General features: G+C 40.8%; 1 protein-coding gene and 1 pseudogene across 5 annotated transcripts in view, besides 2 other annotated features; one reads left to right on the forward strand and one right to left on the reverse strand.

The window, feature by feature from the left end:
* The window catches only part of PPP1R21 (protein phosphatase 1 regulatory subunit 21), a 74621-nt gene extending 53092 nt beyond the window's left edge, over window positions 1–21529 (forward strand). For 2 of the 5 annotated variants that reach the window (NR_024188.3, NM_001135629.3), the window contains exons 16-22: window positions 1822–1914; window positions 4636–4878; window positions 11707–11739; window positions 13412–13528; window positions 16158–16256; window positions 17483–17611; window positions 20858–21529. Coding sequence is in view for 3 of the 5 variants with exons in the window: in NM_001135629.3 (NP_001129101.1) it covers window positions 1822–1914; window positions 4636–4878; window positions 11707–11739; window positions 13412–13528; window positions 16158–16256; window positions 17483–17611; window positions 20858–20887 (744 nt within the window). In the remaining 2 variants the exon portion in view is untranslated. Of the gene's footprint in view, window positions 1–1821; window positions 1915–4635; window positions 4879–11706; window positions 11740–11860; window positions 12001–13411; window positions 13529–16157; window positions 16257–17482; window positions 17612–20857 lie in introns of those variants that run through there. The other 3 variants (NM_152994.5, XR_007069367.1, NM_001193475.2) reach the window with 3 other exon arrangements.
* Window positions 8065–8167, reverse strand: RNU6-282P (RNA, U6 small nuclear 282, pseudogene; annotated as a pseudogene).
* Window positions 13961–14735: an enhancer, noted in NCBI's record as "OCT4-NANOG-H3K27ac-H3K4me1 hESC enhancer chr2:48734957-48735731 (GRCh37/hg19 assembly coordinates)". NCBI's record gives its function as "activates a minimal SCP1, AML or CMV promoter by ChIP-STARR-seq in naive and primed H9 embryonic stem cells {active_cell/tissue: H9 hESC(naive and primed)}" and the evidence as "EXISTENCE:reporter gene assay evidence [ECO:0000049][PMID:30033119]".
* Window positions 14736–15510: an enhancer, noted in NCBI's record as "OCT4-NANOG-H3K27ac-H3K4me1 hESC enhancer chr2:48735732-48736506 (GRCh37/hg19 assembly coordinates)". NCBI's record gives its function as "activates a minimal SCP1, AML or CMV promoter by ChIP-STARR-seq in naive and primed H9 embryonic stem cells {active_cell/tissue: H9 hESC(naive and primed)}" and the evidence as "EXISTENCE:reporter gene assay evidence [ECO:0000049][PMID:30033119]".
* Window positions 21530–22841: the final 1312 nt, after the last annotated feature.

Here is a 22841-nt window from a genome sequence, read left to right on the forward strand (position 1 = left end):
AGTTAGTGTAGCTTATACTGATGCTCCTTGACTTATGATGGGATTACGTCCTGATAAGCCCATTGTATGTTGAAAATGTTGCAGCCGGGTGCAGTGGCTCATGCCTGTAATCCCGACACTTTGGGATGCCAGGGTGGGAGGATCACTTGAGTCCAGGAGTTCGAGATCAGCCTGGGCAACATAGGGAGACCTCGTCTCTCCAAAAAAAAAAAAAAAAAAAAAAATAGCCTGGCATGGTGGTGCATGCCTGTAGTCCCAGGTGCATGCTTGGGAGGCTGGGCTGAGGCAGGAGGAGCCCTGGAGTCTGGGAGGTCAAGGCTGCAGTGAGTCGTGATCACGCTACTGCACTCCAGCCCAGGGCGACAAAGTGAGACCTTGTCTCAAAAAAAAAAAAAAAAAAAAAAAAAAAAAAAAAAAAAAAGTCATGTCAAAAATGCATTTAATGTGCCTAACCTACCAACCATCATAGCTTAGCCTAGCCTGCCTTAAATGTGCTCAAAACACTTACATTAGCCTACACTTGGGCAAGTCATCTAACATAAAGCCTATTTTATTTTATTTATTTATTTATTTATTTATTTATTTTTGAATCAGAGTCTTGCTCTGTCGCCCAGGCTGGAGTGCAATGGCGCGATCTCGGCTCACCACAACCTCCGCCTCCTGGGTTCAAGCGATTCTCCTGCCTCAGCCTCCCACAGGATCCTGCCACCTCCCCCGGCTAATTGTTTTTGTATTTTTAGTAGAAACGGGGTTTCACCATGTTGGTCAGGCTGGTCTCGAACTCCTGACCTTAGGAAGTCCACCCGCCTCGGCCTTCCAAAGTGCTGGGATTACTGGCATGAGCCACCGTGCCTGGCCTTATTTATTTATTTTTGAGATGGAGTCTTACTCACTCTGTCGCCCAGGCTGGAGTGCAGTGATGCAATCTCTGCTCACTGCAACCTCTGCCTTCGGGGTTCAAAGGAGCCTCCTGCCTCAGCCTCCTGAGTAGCTTGGATTACAGGTGTGTGCCACCACGCCTGGCTAATTTTTGTATTTTTAGTAGCACCATTTTGGCCCGGCTGGTCTCGAACTCCTGACCTCAAGCAATCCATCACCTCGGTGTCCCAAAGTGCTAAGATTACAGGGGTGAGCCACCACTCCCGGCCAATTTTATAATAGTGTTGAATATCTCATGTAACTTACTGAATACTGTACTGAAAGTGAAAAACAGAATGGTTGTATGTATAAGTACTCAAAAATATGATTTCTACTGAATGCATTGCTTTTGCACCATCGTAAAGTCATCAGTCGAACCAAGGTAAGTCAGTGACCATTTATAATTGCTTTAAGTTCTTTATTGTTTTTCTTTTTTTTTTCTTTTTGAGACGGAGTCTCGCTCTGTTGTCCAGGCTAGAGTGCAATGGCACAATCTCTGCTCACTGCAACCTCCGCCTCCCAGGTTCAAGTGATTCTCGTGCCTCAGCTTCCCTAGTAGCTGGGACTACAGGCGCGTGCCACCATACCCGGCTAATTTTTGTATTTTTAGTAGAGATGGGGTTTCACCATATTGGCCAGGCTGGTCTTGAATTCCTGACCTTGTGATCCGCTCGCCTCGACCTCCCAAAGTGCTGGGATTATAGGTGTGAGCCACCGCGCCCAGGCTATTATTTTTCTTTTAAAAAATTATCTTCGTTTTCACGTGTATTAAAGAAAATAGTCTGCTTTGACATACATCTGAATTTATTGTCACACCTCGTTTAGCATTCTTTGTGTATGTTGGATGCAGGGGAGGGGTGATACAATATTTTTTCTTTAATTCTTATGATGCTTTTATCATAGCCCCTCTTGGAGTCTGTGCCTTATGAAGAAGCACTGGCAAACCGCCGCATCCTTCTCAGCTCTACTGAAAGTCGAGAAGGCCTTGCACAGCAAGTATGGCACTGGGAAAATTATGGAAATTGTTAAAGAACAGAAATGTTAAATCCCCCATAGAAAGTTTTTAAGATACGTAGAATGATTCAAAAGTCTGCATAAATAAACATGTGAAATGAATTGTTTAATACATACTAAAAAGCAAATAGACATAATTTGTTGAAAAACATGTGTTGACACTCTAAGTCATCTTGATTCAGTTGGTGGTATAATTGGAACTAAAGTAATATCAACACACTTTGGCCATGATGATTAATTCTTTCTTTTTAGGTGCTAGATTTAAATGTCTGAAATACCAAAGTATAAGAGGGGGCAAGAGCTAGTGACTCTGAGTTATTTTTATTTCTTAAAGGAGCAAGAATGAAAAATGTGCAATATTTAGTGGTCAGTTGAGTTTAGGGAGTGGGTGGGAGTGGGAGGCACTGTCTTTTTCAGAAAAAAAGGAAAAAAAAAATATGTATATATTTGTCCACAGTTGGTGGCTGGTAACTCCCATAGTCCTTGTTACAGTAAATGGAATCTCTCTCTCTGATCTTCTCTTGCCCTCTTTTAACTTGCCTAGGGCAGGACTCTAATCTGACTTTACAGCATTATAGGGCATAAGACCCTCATTCTAGAGGTGTTGCCCCATACCCTAGAGGGAGAAATGCTGCTGTACAGAGAAGAATCTAAACAAGACAGGGCTTATTGGGTTTTGGGTTTTTTTTTTTTTTTGAGATGGAGTCTCACTGTGTCACCTAGGCTGGAGTGCAGTGTTGTGATCTCAGCTTGCTGCAACCTCTGCCTCCTGGGTTCAAGCGATTGTCCTGCCTCAGCCTCCAGAGTCGCTGGGATTACAGGTGCATACCACCATGCCCGGCTAGTTTTTGTATTTTTAGTATAGACAGGGTTTCGCCACATTGGCCAGGCTGGTCTTGAACTCCTGACCTCAAGTGATCCCCTGCCTTGGCCTCCCAAAGTGCTGGGATTACAGTCGTGAGCCATTGCGCCCAGTGGAGCTTGTTGGATTTAGGTCCAGTCACATTTCTTCATGGTTGTCAATCATGCCTATCCAGTGCAGTCTCCATGAAAAGCCCAAGAGGGCAGGGTTTGGGAGCTTCTGAATAGCTGAACACATAGAGGCTCTTGGAGGGTGGCATGCCCAGGGAGGACATGGAAAGTCTGCACCCCTTCCTCTGCTTCACTCTAAATCTCTTCATCTGTATCCTTGGTAATAAACCAGTAAACATGTTTCCCTGACTTCTGTGAGGCACTCCAACAAATTAATCAAACTCAAAAAGGGAGTCATGGGAACCTCAATTTAAAGCCGGTTAGTCACAAGTTCTCAAGGTCCAGACTTGTGACTGCCGTCTGCAGGGGAGGCATTTTTGGGAACTGAGCTCACAATCTGTGGGATCTCACACTATCTCCATGTAGATAGTGGTGGAATTAAATGGGAGGACACCCAGCTGATGTCCACAACAAAACTGACTACTTGTTTGTTGATGGGGAAATACCCCACATATTTTGGGGTCACAGAAGTCTTCTGTATTGATTGTTAAAGTGTGAGAACAGAGGAAAAACGATTTGAGAGTTTTTCATAGCAAAGGTTTACCTTAAAAATTATTAGGACCTTAGAAGCCTTCCTCATGCCCATTTCCAGTTACTGCTCTCCTCTCCCCCAAAGGTAACCATTCTCCTGCCTTCTAGCACTATAGATTAGTTTTTTTCCCTGATACTGAACTTTTTATTAAATGCAATTATGCTTTTTCAGGTCTGGCTTTTTGTGTTCAGCACAGTATATGGTATTAGGTTGGTGCAAAAGTAATTGTGGTTGTTGATATTAGTTTTAAATAAATGGCAAAACTACAAAATTACTTTTGCACCAACCTATAGTTCTATTTTTTTTTTTTTTTTTGGAGACGGAGTCTTACTCTGTCGCCCAGGCTGGAGTGCAGTGGCGCTATCTCGGCTCACTGCAAACTCCGCCTCCTGGGTTCACGCCATTCTCCTGCCTCAGCCTCCCGAGTAGCTGGGACTACAGGCGCCCGCCGCCACACCTGGCTAATTTTTTGTATTTTTAATAGAGATGGGGTTTCACTGTGTTAGCCAGGATGGTCTCGATCTCCTGACCTCGTGATCAGCCCGCCTCGGCCTCCTAAAGTGCTGGGATTACAGTCATGAGCCACCGTGCCTGGCCTGCACCAACCTATAGTTCTAATTGTTTACAAACATGTCCATTTTTGTATTCTCTGCTTTTTATATTTTAATTAAGTGGATGGTTTAAGTTGCTGTGCTTTGATAATTAGTGGCATTGCATACCTTTTAATTTGTTTATAGTCTTGTTCAAGTTTTTTGTTGGGTTTTTTTTTCTTTGCCTTCTTCTCTGTTGAGTTGTCTATCTTATTGGTTTGCAAAAATTCCTTGTATGTTCTAGTTATTGGGTCTCTGTTGGATAAATGCTTTACAGATTCTAATTCAATTCTGAGTTTTCTTTTCACTCTTGATGTTTTTCAATGAGTAGAGTTTTTTTTTTTATCTCACTATAGTTTAATTTCTCGATTTATGGTTGTGCTTTTTGTATCATGTCTAATAAATCTCTTCCTATTCGAGGGTCAAACTTTATTATTATATTTTTACCTCTGTGGGGTAGTTTTGGTTTACATTCTGTAAGATAGTTTTTGGGCCACTAAGGTTTATCTGTATTAGTCTCTAAGATACAACACTCTGTTACTTTTCAAGGTTCAACAGAGTTTGGAAAAGATTTCTAAACTGGAGCAGGAAAAAGAACATTGGATGTTGGAAGCACAATTAGCCAAAATCAAGCTAGAGAAAGAAAACCAGCGAATTGCAGATAAGCTGAAGAATACAGGTAGTGCCCAGCTGGTTGGGCTGGCCCAGGAAAATGCTGCTGTGTCAAATACTGCTGGCCAGGATGAAGCCACAGCTAAGGCTGTGTTGGAGCCCATTCAGAGCACCAGTCTAGTAAGTGTCTTCTTGGTTGTCCTCAGTTTTCTTTTTTAAATGCTAATTGGTAAGTATCTAATGTTCAACATTAACCATTGTCTTAGTTCATTCAGGCTGCTATATCAAAATACCATAAGCTGAGCATCTTGTAAATCACAGAAATTTATTTCTCCCAGTTCTTGAGGCTGGGACGTTCAGGATTAAGGTGCTGGGAGATTCACTGTCTGGTTAGGGTCTGTTTCCTGGTTCATAGACAGCAGCATTTTCATGGTGTTCTCACATGGCAGAAGGGTCAGGTGAGCTCTCTGGGGTCTCTTTTGTAAGGGTATTAATCCTATTAGGTTATTTCCCAAAAGCCCTACCTCCTAATACCATCACCTTGGGGGTTAGAGTTTCAACGTAGGATATTGGGGGTGGGGGGGGACACAAACACGCAGGCCACAGTAACCATCTTAATTATACATCAGTTCATAACAGGAGTGATCCGTGTACTCTAGAAGAATGCTGGTTAGTAAGCAGGATATCTCCTTCAAAAAGTAACCATTAAATTCCCTGTGATTTTACATGAGACTTCCTCATGGTGAGGACTATGTTCCTGGAAAAGATATAGTAAGTTAAATTTAAGATGATTCTGTTTTTCCATAAAAACATTTGTAATATGGGGTTATTATGTTTCTAACAAAGGACCAAATGCCTAATTCTTTAATAGAAATAACCACAGGAAGCCGAGAGTGATGGCTTATGCCTGTAACTCCAACACTTTGGGAAGCTGAGGTGGGTGAATCACTTGAACCCAGGACTTTGAGACCAGCTGGGCAGCATAGTGAGACCCTGTGTCTACCAAAAGTAAAATAAAACAAAAACAAGTAATAATAAAAAAGAAATAACCACAAATACAATTTTAACCCAATTTTCTATGATCTATTCCTAGAGAGTGTAAAGCTTTATAATATACACATACTGTAGAAACCCATCAGGTTCTTTTTCATGAGGCAGATTGTTGGCACATTATCTTGCAACTTTGTATTTCTTGCCTTATTGATAATTACAGTGATTTAGAAAGTGAAAAACATTTATATTGCTGTTATAGAATTTAAAGTTACTTTAAAAAATGTTTTCTAATTACACTATTCTGTTCACTGTAAAAAATTAGGAAAATCTAGAAAAAGAAATCAGGAAGGAAAAACCCTAATAATCAAAGGAGTCTTTTAGGTGTATTTTTTTTAACAAACATTTTTTTTACAAGCTTGAGGAGCTTGAAAGCCATGGTGCTTCTTGAAGACCCTGTCCTAAGGTGTGTGCTTTTCTGCTGACTTTACTCCTGAAGCTCACTGATGCTATTGAAGAGCAAGTCATGGTTCTTCCACCTCATTCAGAGCATACCTGCTAGTTAAATATACAAACCAGATTTTATCTTTAGGCCCTATTGCATCTAAACAGTGTCAGAACCTCAGATGATTGTGAATTTTCCTAGGTATGGTAATGATATTATTATTTAGGAGAATATCTTTACTTTTTAGAGATGGATTTCAGTGTACTTAGAGTAAGGTATCAAAATGTCTGCAACTTACGCTCACATGTTTACAAAAAAATATATCTGCACAGATCAATAAAGCAAAACAGGCATGCTAGCAATTATTGAATCTAGATACTAGATATACAGATGTTTACTATACTTTTTACCGCTAACCTTTCTGCATGTTTGACATTTTTCATAATAAAATATAGAAGAGAAAAAAGAATCATTGTTTGTTCTGGGAGGTATGGGGGGAAAAAACCCAAGAATTAAAATTTTTAGAAAAGCAACAAATAGAAAATAATAACAATTTAAAAATAAAAATAAAACCTAAAAACAACAACAACAATTAAAATTTTTAGAAATGCAATAAATAAATAAAAACTTCCTAGTTTGGGCTGGGTGCGTGGCTTATGCCTGTAATCCTAGCACTTTGGAAGGCCGAGGCGGGTGGATTGCCTGAGCTCAGGAGTTCGAGACCTGGGCAACAAGGTGAAACCCCATCTCTACTAAAATACAGAAGAAATTAGCCAGGCGTGGCGGCCTGCGCCTGTAGTCTCAGCTACTCGGGAGGCTGAGACAGGAGAATTGCTTGAACCTGGGAGGCGGAGGTCGCAGTGAGCTGAGATCATGCCACTGCACTCCAGCCTGGGCAACAGAGCCAGACTCTGTCTCTACAAAAAAAAACCCCAAAGAAACAAAAAGAATACCTTCCTAGTTTGTTGACCATGAATGTTCATGACCAATGGTCATGGTGACCTTGAATGGTCGCCACACTCACAGGACAATCCTGTAGTGTTCACCAAAGGCAAGTCTTTGTTCCAGTCACAAGTCCTGCATGTTGCCTCTGATGGGACAAGATGACTGTTTTTACCTCCATATCAGTGGTTTAGCATTTAGCTACGGTGTATAAATGAGGTAATGAGAGGGACATTCAACAAACAAAAGAATTCCAACATCCATCCAAATAGCATTTAAGAACTGCCCCCACTCCCTTGCCTTTAGATTTTTCCTTCAGTGTCTGTCTCAAATGATGGGGTCAGACTGTTCATTATGTCTGATTTCTTCTCCCCAGCTCCATTGCCTGTATCCATTCCTTCCTTCTTCTTAGAGTTGGTGGTGGCCAGACTAGACCAGGGAGGGTGCTGCTGACAATGACATTGTAATTGTAGAAATCGTGTGCCTGACACAGGTCTAAGGACTTTCCAAAGTATTAGTCAGTCAGTCAGTCCTCACACAGGATTGTAGGTACTGTCATAACTCCATTTCATAGTTGAGGAAACCAAGGACCAAAGAGAAATAACTCACATGAAGTCACACACTTGATAAGTGATGGGATGTCTCATCCCAAGCCCTGCCCTCTTAACCAAGATGGCCTTGTGTCTGATCCATGTCAGAAAACAGAATAGCCGACATAAACTCATTTGTTAGCCAGGTGTGGTAGCCCACGCCTGTTGTCCCAGCTACTCCAGAGGCTGAAGCAGGAGGATTTTTGAGCCCAGGAGTCTGAGGCTGCAGTGAGCTATCATTGTGCCACTGTACTCCAGCCTGGACAACAGATTGAGGCCTTGACTCTAAAAAAAAAAAACAAATAAACATCAGATAAACTCATTTGCTTACTGCTTGCCTTACTGAGGTGCTGGAATTGGTAACACTGGCATATATATTTCTTTATAAATTAATAATTTTAAAACGTGGAATGCTTCATGAATTTTCAGGTCATTTTTGAGCAGGGACCATGCTAATTTCTGTATCGTTCCAATTTTAGTACATGTGCTGCTGAAGAAGCACAATGCTGGTATATTTGAGTTGTTAATGTCAGTTGCTGAAAGTTTTGGATTATCTTTTTATTTGAACATTTTCAATGGAAAACGCTATTCTTACATATGTAAGTGAAAAAAATTTCTAGGGAGGGACACGAAAAATCTTTAGTACTGAACACTATTGGGCCATGAGTGATAATGACCTTAGTTGGGTTTGGTGACTTTAGAAGTTGCTATTTAAATCAACTAGTTAGTGTAGGGGTGGAAAGGACCTGATACCTTTTCTCTCCATCATGAGGGTCACAGCCAGCACTCCTATAACAAAAGACAGGTTAACTGCTAACAGCAGATTTCTGCCGAAAATAACCTGGAGTCTTGCCTTGCACACAGTGCACAATAGAAATAAAAAGAGATGGAGTTTTCTGCTTTCCTTGATGTTTCTACTTTCAGCCTTTCTTTTTACCCCCATGCCCTTTAAGTGACCTTAAGGGAACTAATTGTGTGGCTGTGTATGTGTGTGTGTCTTTGTGTCTTTTCTGTCTTCTTCCTCTTGGGTGTTGGGAGCAAGTATGTGCCCATTTCAGTGTTAATTGATTAACAAAGGAAGCTCATCCTACAGGGAGATTACTTTGGTTCAGTCACTTTGAGGCAGAAAAAGTAACCTCAGATAGAAACTTTTCTTTTTTTTTTTTTTTTTTTTTTGAGACGGAGTCTCGCTCTGTGGCCCAGGCTGGAGTGCAGTGGTGCGATCTCCACTCACTGCAAGCTCCGCTTCCCGGGTTCACGCCATTCTCCTGCCTCAGGCTTCCAAGTAGCTGGGACTACAGGCGCCTGCCACCATGCCCGGCTAATTTTTTGTATTTTTAGTAGAGACGGGGTTTCACTTTGTTAGCCAGGATGGCCTCAATCTCCTGACCTTGTGATCCGCCCACCTCGGCCTCCCAAAGTGCTGGGATTACAGGTGTGAGCTGCCGCGCCCAGCCTAGAAACTTATTTCTAACTCTGTAACATTTCAAGAGTTAAATGCTTGTTATTTTTAGCAAGATACCTAGTATTATAATTTGAATATTCAGCCACCTATTATATATTATAAAAAAAGATAGCAATAGCCTTAAAGTAAAAGCACAGAACAATATACATTTCTGTTTTTTGCCGGAATGGAAAAGCATTGCTTAAATTAATAGAATTTTTAAACATATATTTTAAGTATAAAAATGACATTATCCTGAATAATCAAGCCACCAATGTTATCGTTTTTTTCTACTAAATTTCATATATAGTTGACACTGTACTACATAAAATTTCAAATCTTTTAGCATAATGTTAAAACATAAACATCCTGTTATAAGAAACTCAGTAGAAACTTACTGATTTCATAGTATTCCATATCTATTATACCTTAGTTTACCTATGATTAGATATTGGTTATAACTTATGCTATTTTAAATAATGTCTCATTTTTATGTATAAGGTTATTTCTGCATGTTAAATGATTACCTCAGGATGTATTCTCAGAGTTGGAATTACTACTTCAGAAGGCATGAATATTTTCAAATTCCTTGATCTTTATTACCAAATTATTTTTTAAAAGGACTGTATCAGTTTATACTATTGTTAGTATCATATGAGAAAATGTTAAAGTAATCTGTGTTAAAGGCTTTCCTTGCATTGTCGGGCGCGGTGGCTCACGCCTGTAATCCCAGCACTTTGGGAGGCCGAGGCGGGTGGATCATGAGGTCAAGAGTTCGAAACCAGCCTGGCCAACATGGTGAAACCCCATCTCTACTAAAGATTAAAAAAAAAAAAATTAGCTGGGCGTGGTGGTGGGCACCTGTAATCCCATCTACTCGGGAGGCTGAGGCAAGAGAATTGCTTGAACCCAGGAGGCGGAGGTTGCAGTGAGTCAGGATCGCACCATTGCACTCCAGCCTGGGCAAAAGGGCGAGACTATGTCTCAAAAAAAAAAAAAAAAGTTTTCCTTGCATTTATACAGTACCATTCCTTTGAAGGACTTGGTGCTGTACCCATTTTCAAATCATAACCCGGGAGTAAGGGGGTGAGGATGAGCAGGTGGAATAGATGTTTCCTCGCAGTTTATTTTATAAACTGCAGTCATATTTGAATATGTAAAATTAAATGATTGGAGTATTATTCCAAGCAATTTTTCACTAAAAGAGAGTAATTGCTACTTCTACTTCATAAAGTAGAAAAATTATGGCTCTTCTATTTTAAAAGTTCTTATCAAAGACTCTTTTACAGCCAGGTGGGCATAACATTCATTAGTACACATTCAGTTGATATACTCTCAGTGTTCAGAACAATACTCCAGAGGAAATTATTTAGAATACATTAAAACTGTCTATTGACTGGGTGCGGTGGCTCTTGCCTGTAATCCCAGCACTTTGGGAGGGTGAGGCAGGCAGATCACGAGGTCAGGAGTTCAAGACCAGCCTGGCCAACATGGTGAAACCTGCCTCTACTAAAGATACAAAAAATTAGCTGGGCGTGGTGGCGTGCACCTGTAATCCCCACTACTCGGGAGGCTGAGGCGGGAGAATTGCTTGAACCCGGGAGGTGGAGGTTGCAGTGAGCCTCGGTCGCACCATTGCACTCCAGCCTGGGCAACAGGGTGAGACTCTGTCTCAGAAACAAACAAACAAAAAAAAACTGTTCATTGAGTGTAATATCTTATTGACAGAATCCATTGACACTGAGTTTCCAGTAGTTTCCTTGTCATTGTGCCCAAGCACATGCCCCACCACCTTGAACAATAACCAGAATTCAGAAATCATGACCATCTGTTTTTGAAATCTTAAACTGTAGAAACAAACTTTTAAAAAATCTAGCAGCAGCCAGGCATGGTGACTCATGCCTGTAATCTCAGCTACTCAGGAGGCTGGAGACGGAGGATCTCTTGAGCCCAGGAATTTGACGCTGCAGTAAGCTATGATTGCACCAATGTAATGCAGCCTGGGTGACAGAGGGAGACCTTGTGTCTAAAAAAAAAATTAGAAAGAAAAAAATCTAGTAGCATTTTAATGTGTTTAAAATTACATTTTTGTTTTCATTAATTTAAATCTGAAATTTATGCTTACTCATGTCATAATAACTATATCAAAAGTATATTCTCCTTTTGAGCTTTCAACTAGAGTGTTTATTATTTGCATTTTCTGTTTGGAATGTTTAATTATTATGGTCACCGTAAAAACGTCTTTACCCCTTCTTGGCTACTGCTTTGGGAATAGGTGTAGAAATGGCAAGTTGTGGTTAAAAGCTGATCTTCTCTTCTCTCCTAGATGATTTGTTGGGTTTCAGTGAGAATGGCTAATCAGCATTTTGATAGAAGATTTGGTGATGATCATTATTGGTTACTGCCTCATGGCAGAAATAGTAAATGCAGCTACCTATCTTCATGTCCTTGTAGTAAAAGACAGTCCAAGGATGATCTTCTAGTTCTGTACCCTCAATGCTCTGTGAACGGAGAGGAGAAAATATTAAAAGCGTTTGATCTATTGTGCTTGAAATGTACACATTCTGTTCTAAAAGATTTTTCCCCTTATGTTCTAGATTGGGACTTTAACCAGGACATCTGACAGTGAGGTAACATGTGCTTGTCATCATGTTGTTTGTTAGTAAATATCTGGCAGCATGTTTGTTGACAAAGTCCTGCAAAAGCCATCTTTGTCTAATTGTTGTTGTTGTTTTTTCCTGACACTTCTAGCAAATGTGGAGCCAGTGTTTTCCACCTTCGTGTATGGATCCATGTAGCTTTTCTCTGGTTCTGTTTTGATGGTCACCAACAAATTATAGCCTGTTTTTGTAATTGCCTTATTGAGTGACTTGCCATGGAGATTTGACAAGGTGTGGCTCCTGCTTGGGCCTTCATTTGCTGGCATACTACATGAGGCTGAGAGCCGTGTTAGTCCTCGCAGTGGGCAGCCAGGAAAGCAGGGCTTAGCAAGGGCTATCTAGGGCCTTGACCAAGTACAGTGTACTTGGTAGCTGTTTCTTGCCCACAAAGCAAGTGAACCCAGGTCAGATTTGGCCTGTCAGATAGGTTTGCACTTTTGAATTTTGAAATATTCTAAGATGTAACTTTATTTATTTATTTATTTAGAGACAGAGTCTCATTATATTGCCCATACTGAAGTGCAGTGGCATGATCTCAGCTTACTGCAACCTCTGCCTCCGGGTACAAGTTATTCTCCTGCCTGAGCCTCGCAGGTAGCTGGGACTTCAGGCGCATGTCACCATGTCCAGCTAATTTTTGTACTTCTAGTAGAGACAGGGTTTCGCCATGTTGGCCAGGCTGGTCTCAAACTCCTGAGTTCAGGTGATCCATCTGCCTCGGCCTCCCAAAGTGCTGGGATTACAGGCGTGAGCCACTGTGCCTGGCCACTTTAAGATGTAACTTTATAAATAAATAAACACTGAAGTCATCCAACTTACCACTCAGTATGGCAAACTGGTTAATATAGTTCAAGTAAGCTGGAAGATTCTTTGATTTCTGTATTTATTCTTGTAATATAGATAATCATGAACTTCTGCGTGTATTTTTAAACTAAACTCAACAGGGTGTCATTGTTTGAGTAACTAGTAGAAATACCAGTCTGGGACAAAGGCCACAAACTGTTCAATATAGAAATAGTTTAATTTGTTAGTATGTTGGGTGGGCGCGGTGGCTCACGCCTGTAATCCCAGCACTTTGGGAGGCCAAGGCAGGCGGATCACAAGGTCAGGAGATCGAGACCATCCTGCCTAACACGGTGAAACCCCGTCTCTACTAAAAAATATAAAAAATTAGCTGGGCGTGGTGGCGGGCGCCTGTGGTCCCAGCTACGCAGGAGGCTGAGGCAGGAGAATGGCGTGAACCTGGGAGGCGGAGCTTGCAGTGAGCCAAGACTGCGCCACTGCACTCCAGCCTGGTGACGGAGTGAGACTCTGCCTCAAAAAAAAAAAAAAAAAAAAGTCAGTTTTGTGGCTAATAAAAGCTGGATGGAGGGGCAGGGTTCCAGTGGGCTTCCCATTACTTCAGTTCTGTTTTCTTGAAGCCATAACTTCATTCTGAAATAGAAAGATGCTAAATAAAAGAAATTTGGAATATACACTTCCCTGCTATGTCTGAAGTTTCTTCGAGGGGGTAGGAAAACAGTGATTCCCCATCAAAGTTCAAGTGAGAATGTACAAAATGTTGTCTTTTTTTTTTTTTTTTTCTAGAAATGCTTCATCTCACTGGTACTTGTTTATTTATGTGTATTTGTGTTCTATTTAGGTTCCAGATGTGGAATCTCGTGAAGACTTAATTAAAAATCACTACATGGCAAGGATAGTGGAACTTACGTCTCAGTTGCAGCTGGCTGACAGTAAGTCAGTGCATTTTTATGCCGAGGTGAGTGTAGATTTAATTAGATTGGTGGTTTTTTTCCTAACCCCTGCAGGAGTTAGGACACTGTCCTGTTTTCATGCTGTTCACTGTAAGAGAGAAGTCAGTGTCCCAAGTAGCTGGGACTATGGGTGTGTACCACCACGCCCAGCTAATTTTTTGTATTTTTAGTAGAGACGGGGTTTCACCGTGTTAGCCAGAATGGTATCGATCTTCTGATCTCATGATCCGCTGGCCTCGACCTCCCAAAGTGCTGGGATTACAGGTGTGAGCCACCTCGCCTGGCCCGGAGTTCATATTGACTAGTCTGTATACCAACTAAAAATCTTTATTTCAATAAATATAAGACTGATTTGAGTGAGGCTCTGCCTTTTTTTTTTTTTTTTTTTTTTTTTTTTTTTTTTGAGGTGGAGTCTTGCTATGTTGCTCAGGCTACAGTGCAGTGGCACGGTCTTGGCTCAGTACAACCTCCGCCTCCTGGGTTCGAGCGATTCTCCCGCCCCAGCCTCCTGAGTAGCTGGGATTACAGGCACCCGCCATCATGCCTGGCTAATTTTTGTATTTTTGTAGAGATGGAGTTTCACCATGTTGGCCAGGCTGGTCTTGAACTCCTGACCTCAGGTGATCTGCCTGCCTCAGCCTCCCAAAGTGCTGGGATTACAGGCATGAGCTACCACCCCCAGCCACAACTCTGCCTTTAAAAAAAAAAAAAAAGTTATTGCACTATGCAGTATCATCTATAAAATTATACACAATTCATAGAATTAAGGGGGCAAATGAAGAGAGAAAGTAGAGATACCAAGGAGTAGGAAACAAATGGTAAGGTAGAATGGATGCTGCTCAACATAAAAGAATGCCTTCAAGATCTCTGACTTGAAACTTTATATTAAAAAGTCAGTTATGGATGGCAGATAGATGATTATAATGCTTAACGTTGTTAAATTGAAAAAGGAAAGATAAACCCTTTATTGAGACCTGACTTTTTGATTTTCTCTTATACTAGAGTTGAAGAGGTTGATAGGAGGCCAGTTGCTAAAAGTGAAGAGGGGCTTTGCATCTTTTTCCTGCTAAAATAAATTGTGTGCTTAGCTCAGTGTTGTTCACAAGCAGCCATCGAATACATGTTTGATAAGCTGATCAGTAGTGACAGCTTGTTGGAATGCAGGAAAGGGGGAGGACAGCAAACTGAATGGCTAGCAGTGGAAATGCTGAATCACTAAGCCGGCAGTCCAGCAGGCATGGATCCTCATTGTTTGGTTCTGAGTTAGTGTCTCAGACTTGATTGTCCTTTTCACAAGGACCTGTGCCTTGCATGCCTATATTCCTCTTTGTCAGGTTCATTGCTGAGCACAGAATAGATGTTTGGTTAATAGGAGGCGGTTGACTTGGTTGGCTGAACTGCCCTAAAATTTTGTGAGAAATGAAATAAGTAGCTGAGGAATTTTTTTTAGGCTGTTTGATTTCCAAGACATTTAGTTATTTTAGTAAATATCTTCTGTGCAATTGTGATTCAAGAATTTTTAAATTGTCCTACTTTTTCCTTATTGGTAAACAGGAAGTGGTGACCTCCCCCCTCCCACATGACTTTACTGCTCTGAGCGCCTTATGTTGACATAGCATTTGCATGTGTTTCAACAGATTCTCCTTGTCAGTAACCTTATCAGAAAGTTTAGTGAGCCTTTTAATTTCATACCCTCTTTGAACAATATTGTGAAATAGGATTTTTCTTTTATCGTTTTGATCTACACACTCTCTGGATAGAGTAGGATTGGTAGAACCCCTAAAGAAAGCAGCCTGGAATTTTTGCAATCTTGTGCTCATTTTTTCCCTTGTAAGTAGCGCATAATCTGTAGGGTAGGATGGTAAAGCTTTTATTGCTCCTATAATGTGGTCTCTAATGAAGGACTTAAAACACAAGAAAAGTACCTTAGGATCCATAGTGCGTGGTCAGAAGCTCCTGATAACTTTTGTAATAATCACTTTTCTTTTTATCTAGTATAAATATAAATGAATTCTAGATAAATCTAGAAAGTTCTTATGTAAAGAACGGGTGCTGTGGCTCACACCTGTAATCCCAGCACTTTGGGAGGCTGAGGTGGGCAGATCACTTGAGGTCAGGGGTTTGAGACCAGCCTGGACAACATAGTGAAACCCGTCTCTACTAAAAATACAAAACTTAGCTGGGTGTGGTGGTGCATGCCTGTAATCCCAGCTACTCGGGAAGCTGAGGCAGGAGGATCACTTGAACCCGGGAGGTGGAGGTTGCAGTGAGCCAAGATCATGCCACTGCACCCCAGCCTGGGCAACAGAGCAAGACTCCGTCTCAAAAAAAGAAAAAAAAAGAAAGTTCTTATGTATTATATATAACCACTGGTCATCAGGCTAGAGTGAAGAAAAAAACATTGATCTTAAGTTGGTAGACTTTTTTCCCCTTACTGAAATGACAAAGCTGGGGGCCACTTCTTTCTTAGGTGTACTCTGATGTGTGACACAATGCCTATAGGTATTCAACAGATTATTTGTGGAATGAATGAGTAGCTTTGGCTTTGAGAAGTGTTTTTAACAAACTTTCCCGAAGCAAATTTGGTTTTAGAAAGTGCTCCCTCTAGTAATGGAATGTTTTCTGATTTTACAGTGCCGAGCACTGTCTAAAAGACTGGCCTTGGCTGAAAAGTCTAAGGAAGCATTGACAGAAGAAATGAAACTTGCCAGTCAGAACATCAGCAGACTTCAGGTGAGTTAAGTGTTACCTGAATGGTTTTAATGTTTTTTCATTGAAAGTTCTTTGGTAGCAAAGCAGCATTTCTTTTCCAAAGGCATTTGATCTCTAGATATGCTTTTTAAGATAACCACTGTATTTCTGATTCATTTAAAAATAACATCTTACTTATGTTAGGCAAAAAGTAGTTGTATTGTTTCTCTGACTTGATTCTAATTGTAAATCATTTTATAGTCGGCTTTTGCTTAAATAATACTTATTTACCCAGAATTTTTCTTTCCCCTTCCTTGTACATACCCATCATGGTGAGCTGTAGGCTTGTTCTGTACATAGTACTCTGTTCCTTTTCTTTCCTGTTGCATAAAACGGATCTAAACTGAAAGGTGGGGCTATAACATTCCTTCTTACTCACTGCCTGGTTTTAAATCTTTGTTTTCAGAAAGCCTCTGCTAATAAAAACATGATGCCAGGCAAGGAAAAAACACAGCACTACAGCAACACCCACTTCCTCTTTGCTTTAGATTCATTTATCAGATTAATTAGGCACACAGGATTAGATTTTAGGCAGCAGAAGAGAGCATGAGAAATGGGAAGAGAGATGAAGGGTGCTTCTTTCAGGGACGGTGCTGCCGGGAGGGCTGTAGGCCATCGAGGCATAGGATGGAGGCAATGTGTTGTAGGCCTCACCTATGGCTCAGCAAAACCTGAGGGAATTTGGAAAGATAATGAGGCCATATGGCTTTTCTTACAATTTTATACCTGGCATAGAAAGAAACCCTTAAATTTTTGCAAAGAAATTATGAATCTACTTTGGAGGCTGAGAAAAACTTGTTGCCATTTCTTTTAACTTTGTTCTCTTGTTAGGCCTGGGCCTTAAGCTGCATGTCAATTGATCAGATAGACCATCTTTATAGGTTGCTTTTACAAGTAAAAGAATTTTTTTAAAAAATTGATGTAAATAGTTGTACATGTTTGGGGGGGACATGGTATTTTGATTATTTTGATACCTTTGTACAGTGTGTAATGATCAAATCAGGGTCATTTGGAGGTCCACCACCTCAAACATTTATCTTTGTGTTGGGAACATAATAATTCTTCTTTTGTAGCTATTTTGAAATATACAGTAAATTATTGGGAAACTATAATTTCCCTACTCCACATTTTTCTTTTGTGAATTAAAAAAGCTTCAGAGTGGTACGACTCGTGGGATGTTGATTTTTGTCTTTTTCTTTGCTATTTAGGATGAGCTGACAACTACCAAGAGGAGTTACGAGGATCAGTTAAGTATGATGAGTGACCACCTGTGCAGCATGAATGAGACATTATCTAAACAGAGAGAAGAGATTGACACACTAAAGATGTCCAGTAAGGTATGTGAGGTGAGGTGAGGTAGTCTCTCTGCAATATAATATTTAATGTGAGGTATTTTATTGTTATGCATTTCAGGAGGAAGAGGACATAAGATTTAAAGTGTTTGTAAGGGCCAGGGGCAGTGGCTTAAGCCTGTAATCCCAGTACTTTGGGAGGCTGAGGTGGGAGGATCCCTTGAGGCCAGGAGTTGGAGAGCAGAGTGGGCAATATAGTGATACTTCATCTCTACAAAAAAAAAAAAAAATGAAAAAATAAGCCAAGCATGAGGGCCTGTGCCTGTAGTCCCAGCTAGTTGGGAGGCTGAGGTGGGAAGATTGCTTGAACCTAGGAGTTTGAGGTTACAGCAAGCTATGATTGTGCCACGGCACTCCAGCCTGTGCGACAGAGTGAGACTCTGTCTCTAAAAAAGAAAAAAAAAAGCATGTATAAATAATTTTCCTTAATATCATTTGTCCTTTTTTCCAAAAGTATTAAGTGTCTTTGGCTGAATTAAAAGCTGAGAAAGTCTGGCCTCTAAGGCTTTAATACTGTATCAGCTGCTTTTTGGCATTTTTGGCATTTCTCCTACTGTTGCAGAAAAGTTAGGGGGACTCACAAAGGGCTTTAGGAAAGGATTGCTCTTTGTTTATGTAAGACCTAAAATGGTACTGTTGAAGAGTAAATGTTAGAAAATTTATTCTCATAAATGTTAATATAACCTTGGAATGTCTTACCCTTTTAACTAGATTTCCTTTCCCATAATCCTTCTGCTTGCCCAGACTGAGATAGTAGATGTTGGGCAATATGTTTAGGCTGAAATGCATATCCACATACCGTGTCTTTATTACTGTAACAACGTATGTACTGTTTTGCCATGAAAGGTAAACTTTGGGAGGCCAGGGGCTCACTTAGTTGGCATCATCTCATGTGCTTAGTCCATTTTCATAACTCAGTATTATACCACCATCAGCTGGGATTTACCATCTCCAGCCTGCAGTCTTTGAGATCTGCTGCTGCCCCTTTGTGATTCAGCAGGCATTTATTGAGTTCCTGCTGTGTATACTGGGGAGAAATAGAGATGAAGAAACCATGGCTTTATTTTAGCATCTGCTGTTGGTGTTAAGGACAGGATTCTGTTCATTTAGGGTCTTCTTGGAAAATACGTCATGTTAATGCATTGGAATCTGCATTATATATGATTTTGTTTATCAACATAGTTTCGTGATATTCATTGATTGCTTGCTGCTTTGGAGGCTGTCTCTGATGCTTTTCTGGGCTGTTTCTGTGATTATTGTAATCACCCAATATGGTTCTCATTATGGTTCTCCAGTTACTTGTGGTTCAGGAAACTTGAGCTTGGGGGTAAGGGAGTTGGCGATCAGGGGGCTGGTCCTTTTAAGGAAAGCCTCCCTTAACCTTTTGGTTTCTTGTTATTCCATATTCCAGCAGAGCAATATCTAATTCACAAGTTATATTCTTAGTAGTGGTAGAAAATACACACATTGAAGAGGTCGTGTTTTGGGTTTTCTCATGGTATGTATAATTTGTTTTAGTGTAGTAGTATGAGAAAGCCTGTTTTAGCACCTAAAATTTGAAAAGAAGTAGCAATAATTTTTGAAAACTTTTCAATCTCTGGAACTTCAGAAGTATTTGGTTTTGAATTGAGAAAGGTACATGTTGAGTACAGCAAAGCTCATTGTCCTGAAGGTAATTGGATTGCAGCTACTTCAGAAGTTAGGGAATTTTCAAGTTTCCTCTGACTTTTTTTTTTTCTTTGATGGAGTCTTGCTCTGTCACCCAGGCTGGAGTGCAGTGGTGAGATCTTGGCTCACTGCAACCTTCACCTCCCAGGTTCAAGAGATTTTCCCACCTCAGCCTACCTAGTAACTGGGACTACAGGCATGCACCACCATGCCCGGCTAATTTTTTTTTTTTTTGTATTTTTGCAACAGGGTTTCACCATGTTGCTCAGGCTGGTCTCAAACTCCCAGGCCCAAGTGATAAGCTGGCTGCAGCTTCCCAAAGTGCTGGGATTACAGGCGTGAATCACAGCACACAGCATTTTAGAGATTGTTGATCTTTTCCTTAAAATACCAGCCATTAATAAAACTCTGAGAGACCCTTCTTCAGTTTGAATTTATGTCATTAACCTGTCTTTGATCATTCTGTAATCCTGTAGTTTGCTTTTCCCCCATTTAGTAATTTACATTGCTATAGCATCATCTTATGGCTGACATTGTCTGCATTGGATACAAAGTAAACATCCTCAACCATTTGTTTGCTATGATCTTGCTCTTAGTGTTTATATTCTGCAAGCATTTCTTCCATGAAGAAAATGTATTTATGCCTAAGAGTTAAATACAGGAATTTAATTAAAATGTATTCCCAAGAAGGGAGCCTCTCCAGAAAGAATAAAAATTATACAAAACTAGAAAATCCAAATCTCCGTATTTGAGGAAATGGAATAAGTCATCTTCTCTCTGATTTGTTCTCAGCCAGTATCCAAGCTGACTTTTGACAGATAATCAGTGCCGTTTGGGTGTTAGTTAGCACATATTCAGAGTTATTACCTATTAAGACCTTTAAAAGAAAAGGTGTTTATTTAAACAATGACGAGACATGTTCTTTTTTTTTTTTTTTTTTTTTTTGAGACAGAGTCTTGTTGCTCCATCTCCCGGGTTCATGCCATTCTCCCGGCGCCATCTTGGCTCACTGCAAGCTCCGCCTCCCGGGTTCATGCCATTCTCCTGCCTTAGCCTCCCAAGCAGCTGGGACTACAGGCACCCGCCACCATGCCCGGCTAATTTTTTTGTATTTTTAATAGAGACGGGGTTTCACCATGTTAGCTGGGATGGTCTCGATCTCCTGACCTCGTGATCCACCCGCCTCGGCCTCCCAAAGTGCTGGGGTTTAGGCTAACATTTTTTTATTCAGCTTCTTGAAATCTTAGACTCTCTTGTCTTTGGAACAAAATGAATGTTTGTAGTTTTGATAAATCCAAGATAGTTGCTTTCTTTTCTTTCTTTATTTCCTGTCCTCAGCCCCGAGAGGGATAGGGTCTGTGGAAGCAGAGAGGAGAGAGAGTATAACAAACTGCTTTGCGATTATTGAATAAAAGTTAACAATGCAAGGTTATCAGCTATTCTCCTTTTTGGAAGCTAGTGTTCCAAAGTGAAATATGGCTTTCAGACAGCTTGGTTTATAAACTATGTGAGTTATTTTTTTTTATGTTTATGTTCTTATTGTTGATATTTTTCTTTGCACAGGGGAATTCTAAAAAGAACAAGAGTCGATAGTTTTGAAATAGCTGGTTGGCGACTGTTCTTTCCAGACCTGCTCCTGCTGCACAGAGCCGCAGGGCTGAGACCACGTCCATGCTGGCTGCCTTCAGGAAGCTAAAGTATTGTTGGACCTAGTAAACTAGTCAGTGTTGGAAACGGCCTTGAAATATTTAAAACATATTTGTAACCAGTGAGGCAAATACAGAAGTTGATGTCGGCAGTAAATGGAAAACAATACGTATGTCATGGATATTGTAGGTTTCCTTATGCTGTTTTTACTGTGCACTTTTTAAAATTAGGTTTTAATTTCAGTATGTAAGAACAAATATTTTGTATACTTTCAAACTCAATTATATGGTAATCGATTTGGTATCTATGGAATAGATATATGTTTCTGGAAAAAAATGCTTAAATTGTCAAACTGTCATTACTTCTTATTATAGTTGAAGGCATTCTCCAGATTCTTTTTAAAAGATTTGTTCATATTTCTCTCTCTCTCTCTCTCTCTCTCTCTCTCTTCTTTCTCTCTGAGGGAGAGGGAGCCCTCCAAACTTCAGATCCTGTGGGTTTAGTATCATTATCTTCAGCTCTTTGATACCCTGTGTTAGAGTAATAGCTAAAGGAAGTTCATGTCAATAAATTCATACTTATATCACACTTTCAGTCTCTCTATTAAAATTTGATAAAGGAAACTGAACCCTATTAAAGTGGGCTGTTACAAAACATATCAAATGCCAACTGACTTAGGTGTAATCCTCGGATTCCTCAAATTGGAATAATTCTACAGTTAATCCTTTAGTAAGGCTCTTGAGTTTTGCCTTGAAAGCTACTTTAAACCACACTTCAAGCAAAGAGCCTGAGCCCTTTAAGGCTTCCCTTGGCTGATATCATAAACATTGTGTTGTATTAGTGTCAGGAGTGGCTCTGGCAGCACTCTCCACCCCTACTCCCGAGGCACTAAATATATTACTCCTTTCTGAACTGCTTTCACAGGCCCATTTCAACCGTGTCCAGGCCTCCAGATTAGCTGAGGAGTTCCTGAAACCCACTTCTCCTTACCTCTCCGCCTGTGGCACCATCTCTCGAGTCTACTCTCTAGACAGTTGTGAGTCACCCTCTAAAATGCTTTATTCCGGAGTTTACCTGAGATCCCATCACCGGCTTCTCTCTGTGCTCAGCACAAAAGCCAACTCCTTGGCCTCTGCCCTAAGTCCTCAGCTGTCTGCCATACAGAGAGACTCTGGTTGTTAGGCCCAGTCCTCACCACAGTGAAAGCATTCGGATCCTGAGTTGGGGGATCTCTGGGTTGGTTGGTTCAGTTCCATTTTTCCCAGCCCTTCAAGTCCCTAGCCCCCTTGCCCTTTCTGTTTTCTCTGCCCTGTCCATTGTCAGTTTTCTATCTACTCAGCCAGTTGTTTTCACTGCAGCTGTGAGTAGGCCCCCAAACACTGCGAGGGAAACATCAAAGAGCCATGCTGGGCCTGGCACAGTGGCTCACACATGTAATCCCAGCACTTTGGGAGGCTGAGGCAGGTGGATCACTTGAGGCCAGGAGTTCAAAACCAGCCTGGTCAACATGGTGAAACCCCATGTCTACTAAGACTACAAAAAATTAGCCAGGCGTGGTGGCATGTGCCTGTAATCCCGGCTACTTGGGAGGCTGAGGCAGGAGAATCACTTGAACCCAGGAGATGGAGGTTGCAGTGAGCTGAGATAGCACCAATGCACTCCAGCCTGAGCGACAGAGTGAGTGAGACTCTGTCTTAAAAAAAAAAAAAAAAAAGAGCCATCCTAACTAGCTCTGTCAAGAACTTAGGGTTTTGAGCCCCTGCCAGCCTTTCATTGTTCTAGGACAGTCCTTTGGGTATTTTTAGTCCATTTTTATTCTAAATTTCAATAATGGCTACACCACTTCTCTCCTTAAGGTCTGCCCCCTTCACTCTTAGGATTTGTACCATCTGTACCATCA

This window comes from Homo sapiens, chromosome 2, assembly GCF_000001405.40.
Source record: "Homo sapiens chromosome 2, GRCh38.p14 Primary Assembly".
NCBI lineage: Eukaryota > Metazoa > Chordata > Mammalia > Primates > Hominidae > Homo > Homo sapiens.